The sequence below is a fragment of the Homo sapiens genome, chromosome 9, assembly GCF_000001405.40.
Source record: "Homo sapiens chromosome 9, GRCh38.p14 Primary Assembly".
In the NCBI taxonomy this organism is placed as follows: domain Eukaryota; kingdom Metazoa; phylum Chordata; class Mammalia; order Primates; family Hominidae; genus Homo; species Homo sapiens.
The window spans coordinates 120,116,405-120,129,556 of NC_000009.12; the positions used below are offsets into that span (position 1 = coordinate 120,116,405).

At 40.7% G+C, this 13,152-nt stretch overlaps 1 annotated feature.

Moving 5' to 3' along the window:
• Window positions 449-1,078: an enhancer, noted in NCBI's record as "OCT4-NANOG hESC enhancer chr9:122879131-122879760 (GRCh37/hg19 assembly coordinates)". NCBI's record gives its function as "activates a minimal SCP1, AML or CMV promoter by ChIP-STARR-seq in primed H9 embryonic stem cells {active_cell/tissue: H9 hESC(primed)}" and the evidence as "EXISTENCE:reporter gene assay evidence [ECO:0000049][PMID:30033119]".

Here is a 13,152-nt window from a genome sequence, read left to right on the forward strand (position 1 = left end):
TGTATAACATCTTCCCTCTCTCTCTCTTCCTTCTGCTCCAGCCATGTAAGATGTGCCTGATTCCCCTTTGCCTTCCACCATGATTTTAAGTCTCCTGAGGCCTCCCCAGAAGCAGAAGCCACTATGCTGCTTGTACAGCCTTCAGAATCATGAACCTCTTTTTAATAAATTACTCAGTCTCAGGTATTTCTTTACAGCAGTATGAGAACAAACTAATACAGAAAATTGGTACTGAGGAGTGGGGCATTGCTATAAAGATACCTGAAAATGTGGAAGCAACTTTGGAACTGGGTAACAGGCACAGATTAGAAGAGTGTAGAGGGCTCAGAAGAAGACAGGAAGATGAGGGAAATTTTGGAGCTTCCTAGAGACTTGTTAAATGGTTGTGGCCAAAATGCTGATAGTAACAGGGACAGTGAAGGCCAGGCTGATGAGATCTCAGACGGAGATGAGGAACTTACTGGGAACTGGAGCAAACATCACTTTTGTTACACTTTAGCAAAGAACTTTGAGGCATTGTGCCCCTGCCCAAGGAATCTGTGGAACTTTGAACCTGAGAGTGATGATTTAGGGTATCTGGTGGAAGAAATTTCTAAGCAGCAAATTGTTCAAGATTTGGCTGGCTGCCTCTAACAACCTATGCTTATGTGTGAGCAAATAAATGATCTGAAAATGGAATTTATATTTAAAAGGGAAGCAGCGCATAAATGTTTGGAAAATTTGCAGCACAGCCATGTGGTAGAAAAGAAAAGCCCATTTTCAGGGGAGCAATTCAAGCAGGTTGCAGAAATTTGCATAACTAAAAGGAAAGCAAATGCTGATAGCCAAGACAATGGGAGAAAGTCCTCGGTGGCATTCCAGAGACTTTCATGGCAGCCCCTCCCATCACAAGCCCAGAGGCCTAGGAGGACTGAATGGCTTTGTGGGCCAGATTCAGAGCTCCACTGCCCTGTACAGCCTCAGGACACTTTTCCGCATCCTGGCCTCTCCACCTCCAGCTGTGGCTCAAATGAGCCAAGGTACACCTCGGACAACTGCTCCAGAGAGAGCAAGCTGTAAGCCTCTGCAGCTTCCACATGGTGTTAAGCCTGCAAGTGCACACAATGCAAGAGCTGAGGCTTGGGGTCCTCCACCTAGATTTCAGAGAAAGTATGGAAAAGCCTGGATGTCCAGGCAGAAGCCTGCTGCAGGGGAGGGTCCCTCATGGAGCACCTCTACTAGGGCAGTGTGAGTCGTAAATGTGGAATCAGAGCCTCCATACAGAGTTATTCTCACTGGGGCACTGCTTAGTGGAGCTGTGAGAAGACAGCCATCATCCTCCAGACCCCAGAATAGTAGATCTACCAACAGCTTTCACCCTGCACCTGGAAAAGCCACAGGCACTCAGTGCCAGCCTTTGGAAGCAGTAGCAGGGACTGAACCCTGAAAAGCCACAGGGACAGGGCTGCCCAAGGCCTTGGGAGCCCACCCCTCACACCAGTGTGTCCTGGATGTGGGACATAGAGTCAAATGAGATTGTTTTGGAACTTTAAGGTTTAATGAATGTCCTACTGGGTCTTAGACTTGCATGGAGCCTTAGGCCCTTTCTTCTGGCTGATTTCTCCCTTTTGGAATGGAAGTATAATATGCCTATAACCCCATTGTATCTTGGAAGTAACTAATTTGTTTTCACTTTTACAGGCTCATAGGTGAAAGTGACTAGCCTTGTCTCAAAGAGACTTGGGACTTTGGACTTTTGAGTAATGCTAGAATGAGTTAAGACTTTGGAGGACTGTTGGGAAGGTATGATTGTATTTTGAAATGTGAGAAGGACATGAGATTTGGGAGGGATCAGGGGTGGAATAAGATGATTTGAACGTGTGTCCCTACCCAAACCTCATGTTGAATTTGGAGGTGGGCCTGATGGGAAGTGATTGGATCATGGGGGAAGAGTTTATACAAATGGTTTAGTATCATACCCCTTGGTACTGTATAGTGAGTGAGTTCTCACTAGATCTGATTGTTTTAAAGTGTGTGGCATCTTTCCCCTCTCTATCTTTCTCCTGCTCTGGTCACGTAAGATGATCTTGCTTCACCTTTGCCTTCTGCCATGATTGAAAGTTTCCTGAGGCCTTCCCAGTAGCAGAAGCTGCCATTCTTCCCTGTACAGCCTGCAGAACATGAGCCAATTAGACCTCTTTTATTTATAAATTACTCAGTCTCAGGTGTTTCTTTATAGTAGTGCAAAAATGGACTAATACAGCTGGGCACGGAGGTGCATGTTTATAGTCCCAGCTACTCGGGAGGCTGAGACAAGAGGATCGCTTGAATCCTAGAGTTCTAGGCTGTAATCAACTATGATCATGCCACTGCACCAGCCTGGACCACAGAGTGAGACCCTGTCTCTAAAACATTTAAATTTACATTTTAAAAAGATCCATGGAACTTAGACATATTCTGAGGCAAGGTAGGACCCAAATGAACTGAGATTAGGTTTCTCCTATTTAGCAAACTGGGGGCTCAAAATGATAAGGAAAAGGAAAGGGAGTTTTATTTTAGTTCTTGTTCATCTGGGTTTATAGACTGAAACCACAGCTATTGCATATGTGAAGCACTCAGCCCAGTGCCTGGCACAAAGTGGACACTTGATGAATGAGAACTGGTTCTCTTACCACCTCCTGGAAGAACCTCCTCTCCACATAGGCTCTCTCCTGTCCCAGCCCTTCATGTCCAGTTGATATCTGTGCTCCCTAGGAGAGAAACAAAATGGGGAGATGAAGTAGATTTGCTCACTACTCTTTGCACCCACCATGATCTTTTATCTAACTCCAGGTGAAGAAATCACTTTCCTCTCCTCCTGACTGCAAATGTTTATTGATACTACTGTGAAAATTAAATGCTTTGCTGAAGATTACTCTTTAACCCTGGAATTCAAGTTGGTATGTGTCTGCTTGTTCATTAGTTAATTAGTTAATCAGTTTGTTTATTTAGTAACAGCCAGATTCTATGAAACAACAATGAGAAGGAAAATCCTTTACATTCACACTTCTCAAGCATTAATGTGCCCACACATCATCTGTGGATCTTGTTAAAACAGAGATTCTGATCCAAAGTATGGAAAAAGGGCCTGAGTTCTACATATCTAATACACTCCCAGGTGATACTAATCTTGCTGACCCATGGACCACATCTAGAGGATCTAGAGTCAGACACACTAGGTTCAAATCCCAACTCTGTAGCTGTGTGACTTTAAGCAACTTAAATAACCTCTCTGAGCCTTCATGTCATCTTTTATTAAGTGGGACTATATATAACTTCTTACTGGAAAGTTTGTATAGGTGAAGATTAAAGATAATTCAACAGAGCCCTTGCATGTCTTGGCCATTCTGCAAGTAGCAGTGTAAATTATTAGGATAGTGTGGCCCCATTTATGCTAAATGTGGGGTTGCACCTTTCTACTACAGCCTTAGGATCCCTCTTGTCCTGACATTCTGCTATTCTGGGAGGACCGAATAGCTCTGGAATGAATAAAACTGTCACTGCCTATATGGAAGGGCAGCATCTTGTCTCTACTATCAGAGTGTGGTCATCATTTCAGACCAGCTATGAGGCATCCTGCTCTTGAGATGGGCTGAGAATCAGGATGTCCCAGCAGCCGGCAGCATGGATAGATGATGACATACCTGGTACTAAATGCCCACCTAGTCCCCAAATGTCTCGATGTCCTGTAAGACCCCTGGAACTGGCTGAGCATAGTGATTCACACCTGGATCCCAGCACTTTCGGAGACCAAGGTGGGAGGATCACCTGAGCTCAGGAGTTCGAGGGCAACCTGGGCAACACAGTGAGATCCCATCTCTACAAAAATAAAAATTAGCTAGGACATAATGGTGCATGCCTGTAGATCCTGCCCATTGCCGAGGCTGCAGCCTCTTTCCACTCCCCTCTTCAGGGATATTGATCCCCAGCCAGCTGTAGATGCATCTTTATTATTTGTGTGCCATAATCAGCACAGATATTAGGGCAATTCCCTGGCCTGGATCTATTTGTTCCCCCATGCTAGCCTGAATCTCTCTCTGAGGTCCCCAGAGTCAGTGACAGCTGTGCGGGACCCAACTATGGAAATAAAATTTCAGTTACATCTACTGGAAATTAGATTAGATTTTATTACTGGAAGGAAAAAGGAAAGATGACAACAACCAAAGGCTCAGAGAGAAAAGACATGTGTACATCAACACACAAATATGAAATGAAAAGCCATTTTGCAGCCTCACTCACCAACCCAAAGGAGCCAAAGAGCATCTGTCCTGCTTGGGGCGCTAGGAGGCTGCCTCAGCTCCAGCAATGGCCGTGTTGAAATGGAGGTGGCTCTCACCTCTGAGAAGCAAGGCAAGGCTCTGAAAATACAGTGGTCCTCAAGGCGACAATCAGGGCTCACTCAGATCCAAGTTCTCCCACTCCTGAGCTGCATGGACTTGAGGACAGGACTTCCCCACTACTGTGAGTCTTCGTACTGTCACCTGCATTATGGGATGATGCTAATATCAGTACATAGTTCGGAGGAGAGTGAGATGAAACAGTAAGTGATGTTCCATACATTCCCCCAAAGAGGCATAAACTGGGTGATCAGAATAAGAAATACACAACTCATGCTAAGAACTGTGTTTTATATCATAGCCCTGTACATGTACATGTATACATAAATAGACAAAAACATTAAGTATTATGAAATAAGTTGTGTCAATAATTGCAAACACATGTAGCATTTCCTATGTTCTAGGCTCTATTCTAAACCCTTAATAAATATTAATTCATCCCTATGAAGTAACTACTATTATTATGCCCATTTTATAGGTAAAGGAAGTAAGACTCAAATTCCCTTGAGTAACTTGCCTATGGTCCCACAGCCAGAAAATGGCGAGGCCAGGATTCAAAACCAACTAGTCGGCCTCATCCACTGTGCTACCACATCTGGTAATTCCTCTTCTATTCTAGTCAGAGGTCCCCTCCACTGATTTCATGGCCACTAAAAAAATCCCAATCTGAAATTTGAAAAATGCAGCTCTAATATATCCTCTAACTTTGGAAATTCTTCTTTGGAGAAATGTTTATTCAAGTCTTTTGTGTATTTTTTAACTGGTTTTTTTTATTGTTGTTGAACTGTAGGAGCTCTTTACCTATTCTGAGTATTAATTGCTCATCACATATATGATTTGTAAATATTTACTCCATTCTGCTTTTCACTCTGTTGATAGTGTCTTTTGATCCACATGTTTTTAATTTGATGAAGTATAATTTATCTATTTTTTCTTTTGTTATATGTGTATTCACTGTCATATCCAAGAAATCATTGTTAAATCCAATGTCATGAATATTTTCCTCTATATTTTCTTCCAAGAGTTCTGTAGTTTTAGTTCTTACATTTAGGCCTTTCATCTATTCTGGGTTAATTTTTGTATATAATGCAAAGTACAGTTTCAACTGCCTTCTTTTGCATGTGGTTATCAATTTTCCCAGTATCATATGTTGAAAAGACTGTCCTTTCCCCACTGAATGGTCTTGGCATCCTTGTTGTCAAAATCATTTGGCCATATGTATGAGTGTTTATTTCTGGGCCCTCTATCTTATTCCATTGGTCTATATGTCTTTCTTTATACCTTTACCACACAGTTTTTATTATTATAGCTTTGTCGTAAGTTATGAAATCTGGATGTGTGAGTTCTCTGACTTTGTTTTTTCAAGATTGGTTGGCTATTTGGGGTCCCTAGTGATTCCATATGAATTTTAGGATGAATTTTTTCACATCTGCAAAACACATCATTGGGGTTTTGATAGAAATTGCACTGAATCTGTAGATCGCTTTGGGCAGTATTGACATCTTAACAATATTAAGGCTTATAATCAATGAACAGGGGATTTATTTCCATTTTTGGTGTCTTCTTTTATTACTTTCAGCAACATTTTGTAGATTTCAGTGTACAAGTCTTTTACATCTTGGTTAAATTTATTCCTATATATTTTATTCCTTTTGATGCTATTATAAATAAAATTGTTTTCTTAATTTCCTTTTCAGATTTTTCATTGTTAGTGTATAGGAACACAGCTGATTTTTGTGTGTTGGTTTTCTATCCTGGAGCTTTGGTAAATTTGCTTATTTGTTCTAACAGGCTTTTTTGTGGAACCTTTAGGTTCTACATATAAGATTATGTCCTGAATGGTATTGCCTAGGTTTTCTTCTAGGGTTTTTATGGTTTTAGGTCTAACATGTAAGTCGTTAATCCATCTTGAATTAATTTTTGTATAAGGAGTAAGGAAGGGATCCAGTTTCAGCTTTCTACATATGGTTAGCCAGTTTTCCCAGCACCATTTATTAAATAGGGAATCCTTTCCCCATTTCTTGTTTTTGTCAGGTTTGTCAAAGATCAGATAGTTGTAGATACGCGGCATTATTTCTGTGGGCTCTGTTCTGTTCCATTGGTCTATATCTCTGTTTTGGTACCAGTACCATGCTGTTTTGGTTACTGTAGCCTTGTAGTATAGTTTGAAGTCAGGTAGTGTGATGCCTCCAGCTTTGTTCTTTTGCCTTAGGATTGACTTGGTGATGCGGGCTCTTTTTTGGTTCCATATGAACTTGAAAGGAGTTTTTTCCAATTCTGTGAAGAAAGTCATTGGTAGCTTGATGGGGATGGCATTGAATCTATAAATTACCTTGGGCAGTATAGCCATTTTCACGATATTGATTCTTCCTACCCATGAACATGGAATGTTCTTCCATTTGTTTGTATCCTCTTTTATTTCATTGAGCAGTGGTTTGTAGTTCTCCTTGAAGAGGTCCTTCACATCCCTTGTAAGTTGGATTCCTAGGTATTTTATTCTCTTTGAAGCAATTGTGAATGGGAATTCACTCATGATTTGGCTCTCTGTTTGTCTGTTATTGGTGTATAAGAATGCTTGTGATTTTTGTACGTTGATTTTGTATCCTGACACTTTGCTGAAGTTGCTTATCAGCTTAAGGAGATTTTGGGCTGAGACAATGAGGTTTTCTAGATATACAATCATGTCACCTGCAAACAGGGACAATTTGACTTCCTATTTTCCTAATTGAATACCTTTTATTTCCTTCTCCTGCCTGATTGCCCTGGCCAGAACTTCCAACACTATGCTGAATAGGAGGGGTGAGAGAGGGCATCCCTGTCTTGTGCCAGTTTTCAAAGGGAATGCTTCCAGTTTTTGCCCATGCAGTATGATATTGGCTGTGGGTTTGTCATAGATAGCTATTATTACTTTGAGATACATCCCATCAATACCTAATTTGTTGAGAGTTTTTAGCATGAAGTGTTGTTGAATTTTGTCAAAGACCTTTTCTGCATCTATTGAGATAATCATGTGGTTTTTGCCTTTGGTTCTGTTTATATGCTGGATTACATTTATTGATTTGCGTAAGTTGAACCAGCCTTGCATCCCAGGGATGAAGGCATGGGCAAGAACTTCATGTCTAAAACACCAAAAGCAATGGCAACAAAAGCCAAAATTGACAAATGGGATCTAATTAAACTAAAGCGCTTCTGCACAGCAAAAGAAACTACCATCAGAGTGAACAGGCAACCTACAGAATGGGAGAAAATTTTTGCAACCTACTCATCTGACAAAGGGCTAATATCCAGAATCTACAATGAACTCAAACACATTTGCAAGAAAAAACCCAACAACCCCATCAAAAAGTGGGCGAAGGATATGAACAGACACTTCTCGAAAGAAGACATTTATGCAGCCAAAAAACACGTGAAAAAATGCTCATCATCACTGGCCATCAGATAAATGCAAATCAAAACCACAATGAGATACCATCTCACACCAGTTACAATGGCAATCATTAAAAAGTCAGGAAACAACAGGTGCTGGAGAGGATGTGGAGAAATAGGAACACTTTTACACTCTTGGTGGGACTGTAAACTAGTTCAACCCTTGTGCAAGTCAGTGTGGCGATTCCTCAGGGATCTAGAACTAGAAATACCATTTAACCCAGCCATCCCATTACTGGGTATATACCCAAAGGATTACAAATCATGCTGTTATAAAGACATAGGCACACGTATGTTTATTGCGGCACTATTCACAATAACAAAGACTTGGAACCAAGCCAAATGTCCAACAACGATAGACTGGATTAAGAAAATGTGGCACATATACACCATGGAATACTATGCAGCCATAAAAAATGATGAGTTCATGTCCTTTGTAGGGACATGGATGAAACTGGAAACCATCATTCTCAGCAAACTATGGCAAGGACAAAAAACCAAAAACCGCATGTTCTCACTCAGAGGTGGGAATTGAACAAAGAGAACACATGGACACAGGAAGGGGAACATCACACACTGGGGACTGTTGTGGGGTGGGGGGAGGGGGAGGGGGGAGGGATAGCATTAGGAGATATACCTAATGCTAAATCACAAGTTAATGGGTGCAGCACACCAACATGGCACATGTATACATATGTAACAAACCTGCACATTGTGCACATGTACCCTAAAACTTAAAGTATTATAATAATAACATTAAAAAAAATAAATAAATAAATAAAACTCTGAACTTCTAAAAAATAAAAAAGATTATGTCATGGGAGAACAGATAATTTTACTTCTTCTTTTCCAATGTGAATGGCTTCTTTTCTTTCTTTTTTTTCTTCAATTATTTAGGGCTGGAATATCCAGTACTATGTTGAATAGAAGTGGGTGAGTGTTCCTGATCTTAGAGGAAAGTCTTCCAGTCTTTCACCAATGAGTATGACACTATATGTGGGATGATAAGGATGTATTAGAAACAAGTGCATTTCAAAAAACTGTTGATACGGTTTGGCTGTGTCCCCACTCAAAACTCATCTTGCACTGAAGTTTCCATAACCCCCATACGTCATGGGAGGGATCTGGTGGGAGGTAATTGAATCATGGCAGTGGTTACCCCCATGCTGTTCTCGTGATAGTGAGTGAGTTCTCATGAGATCTGATGGTTTATAAGGAGCTTTTCCCCCTTTGCACAGCACTTCTCTCTGCTGCCATGTGAAGAAGGATATGTTTGCTTCCCTTTCCATCATGATTGTCCGTTTCCTGAGGCCTCTTCAGCCATGCAGAACTGTGAGTCAATTAAACCTGTTTTTTTAATAAATTACCCAGTCTCAGGTATGTTTTCATAGAAGCATGAACAAACAAATACAACTGTTTTTAGTGATAATAATGAAAGCCCCTATGTGTCAGGATAGAGTTGACTGTTTCCATTCATCAAATTATAGAATCCTCACAGTGACCTGTGAGAGAGGAATTTGAATCCCCTTATCACCAATGCAAGGCTTAGAGAAATGTAGTGACTTCCCCAGGCTCACAGTGACAGCAAATGGTTGCGCTAATATTCAAGCCCAGGGCTGGGTGTGGCAGCTCACACCTGTAATCCCAGTACTTTGGGAGGCCAAGGTGGGTGAATCACTTGAGCTCAGGAGTTCAAGGTCAGCTTGGGCAACATAGCAAAACCCCATCTCTAAAAGGATTATAAAAATTAGCCAGGCATGGTGAAGCATGCCTGTAGTCCCAGCTACTTGGAGTCTGTTGTGGGAGGATCGCTTGAGCCCAGAGGCTTGAGGCTGCAGTGAGCGATGATTGCACCACTGCACTCAAGCCTCTGTAACAAAATGAGACTCTGTCTCAAAAAATATAAATACATAAATATTAATCAAACTCAGAACTATTAGTTCCAACATGCTTGAACTCTCAAATTTCCTCAGCTTAGTAGATATGAGTCCTATAACCCTCCTTGTTAGAGGACAGTCTTCTCATCCTTGGAGCCTGAAGGGCAAAGATTCCATCTTTCACATCAAAGACCTGGCCTTGAGTGGCCCTGGCTCTACCACTCTCTGATGGAGTAACTGGACAAGTCACTGAAATTTTCTGAGCCAATGTCCTTAGCTACAAATCAGGCATCATAATAAAAGCCACACATAAGTTTCCCCAGGGCAAAGGGGTTTCCCAGGATATAGAACTTTCAGTGCTAAATGCCAAAGTCCCAGGCAAACCTGGTCAAGTTTTGTTTGTCACCAGATATGATGGTTAATACAACCATTCATTCCATTGTTCTTTCTTTCAACAAATATTGATTGAGTGTCCATTGTATGCCAGGCAGTGTTCTTGATGCTGGAGATATAGGGAAAAAAAAGAAAAAAAAATTGGCCTTCATGGAGCTTATATCCTAGCTAGGGCAGAACAGCACAAATAAAGAAGTAAGACATTTAGTATGTCAAGTAATGATAAATACAATGAAGAAAAAAAGAAGCAACAAATTATTCAAATAGCCCCAAACTGGAAGTCACCCAAAGTATCCATCAGCAGAACAGTGAATAAACTGAGATCTATTCATGCAATGGATTAGTGCAATGCAACAAAAACAATGAATTACTGATACACAAAATGTGGATGAATCTCAGACATTATGCAGAGAAAAACAAAACAGTACATGCTGGAAGCATCCATTTATATGAAGTTCAAAAACAGGCAAAACTAAGAGATGGTGATTATAGTCAGAAGAGTAATTACCTGAGGGTGATGCTAACTGGAAAGGGCCTAAGGAAACTTTTGGGGCACTGCAAATATTCAATGTCTTGGCCTGGATGGTGATCAGATGGAGAACACATAGGTAAACATTCACTGAAGTGGATACTTGACACAGACCCAATAAGTGCACTTTATTGTGCGTAAGCTGTACCTCAATTATGAAAAAAAAATCTTAAATAGATAAATAAATCAACAAAGGTGAAACGGAGGCATGGAAGAGGTAGAATTAGGTTGGCATAGTTCATAGCGTGGAAGAAGAATTCACTACATGTTAGGTACATTTTATTATTATCTGGTGACTGTGAGGAGCCTATGGCCTAAGCTTCAAAGAGCAGAAGCCCCTCTGTTGGCTCTTTGGGTTTCCCTCAGCTAAGCTCAGGACCCTGGTACATCTCCAGGAGCCTCTTTGGGAAGGCTGTACTTTAAATGCCTTAACACTGGTTTCTAAACCCAGCTCATCAACAGGACTGGAAGGTTTCTGGCAGGACCATACTGGTTTGCTCTGCACAGTACATCCTAATCCCATGCCCCTGAGACTGTAGTGACAAAGATTTCTAACATTTTCCTATGCAATGGGATTGAATTATCCCAGGGATAATGGAAAGGTATTTTTCATCTTTAGGGTGTTAATGAATATAAATGGGATTTACAGCCTATTTCTCTGCTTTTTTTTCCCTCTGGGAAGTGAGATCATAGAAAACTTACAGTAGCAAAAGGAGAGTGAGAGACCCTTCATTCAACCCTCCCACCCAGAACACCCCCAAGAATGAGAAAGACTTCAAGAACCCCAATGCCTTCCCCTCCTTCCCAAATGGTCAAAAACTCCTCCAAGTAAAAAGTAATTGATCGATCATGTTACAAGTATTTTTAGCTACAAGGAATTGCTAACCAGCAAACTTTGAGTGAACCAGGACCCAGGGAAGTCAAGATGTAAACCTCTTTTCTAGATGGAATACTCTCTCTGCTCATGGCTTTCTTCTGGGAAGTAGGGAAGGTGTTGTCTTGGTCCATATTAGTCCACATCTCTTAGGGAATAATTCTGTCATCTCCCCACCTCTAATGCTCTATTCTATGCTGGAATAATTATAGGACGCAGAAAGGTCTTCTTCCCCTCTGGTCATTCATATGTTATTCTTTGTGCCTAGAATATGTCTCTCTTCTCTTAGCCAGGGAGAGTTGGGATTGGCTATAAAAGGGGTCATCAGGGACAAAGACAAAATGGCATATATACACAATGGAGTACTATTCAGCCTTTAAAAAGAAGAAAATCCTGTCATAAGCGACAACATGGATGAACCTGCTAAGTGACATAAGCCAGGCACAGAAAGATGAATACCACATGGCCTCACTTACACTCACAATCTAAAAAAGTCAGACTCATAGAAGCAGAGAGTAGGATCATGGTCACAGAGGCTGGGGGGTGTAGGGATTGGGAAGATGTTAGTCAAAGGGTACAAAGTTTCATTTAGATGGAGGAATAAATTCAAGAGATCTCTGTACAACGTGGTGACTACAGTTAATAACAATGTATTGTATATTGAAAATTGCTAAGATAATAGATTTTAAGCATTCTCATCATAGAAAATTATAAATATCAGAGGTAATGCATATTATAATTAGCTTGATTTGGCCATTCCACAATGTATACCTGTATCAAAACATCATGTTAAGCACCGTATTTGTCAATGACAATAAATTTAAAAGAGGCATCAGGAAGGATCCCTTTGGAGATGGAACTGTTCTACATCTGACTATACAAAAGTCAATATTCTACTTGTGATCTTTTCCTAATGTATTACAAAATGGTACCATTGGGGGAACCTGGGTAAAGAATGCACAGGATCTCTCTGTATTATTTCTTATAACTTTATGTGAATCTATAATGATCTCAAATTGAGACCTTTAATTTAAAAGAAAAATCTCCTTGGACAGTCTAACATGCAATCAGAGTTCAGAATGATTACTACAGCTCAACACTAGCCAAGAGAAATTTCTGTGGTGATGGAACTGTTTTCTATCTTCTTTATAATACAGTAACCACTGGCTGCGTGCAGCTATTGAGCTCTTGAAAGATAACTGGTAGGATTGAGGACCTAAATTTTTAATGCTGATTAATTTAAATTTAAATAGCCACATATGGTATATTAGTTTTCCAGGGCTGCCTTAACAAAGTACCACTCACTAGATGGCTGACAGAACAGAAATGTATTGTCTCCTAGTTCTGGAGGCTTGAAGTTCAAGATCAAAGTGTTGGTAGGGCATCTTTCTTCTGAATTCTGTGAGAGACAGTCTGTTCCATGCCTCTCACCTAACTTCTGGTGAGTTGCTGGCAATCTTCAGCATTCCTTGGCTTGTTGAAACATTACCCTGATCTCTGTCTTCATCTTCACATGATGTTCTATGTGTGTGTCTGTCTCCAAATTTCCCCATTTTATAAGGATACGAGTCCTATGGGACTGCAAATAAAGACATACTCTGAGGAAGTGGAGGTTAGGACTTCAACATATGGATTTTGGGAGAAGAGAATTCAACGTGTAACTTGTGTCTTGTGGCTACCATATTGGACAGTGCAGGT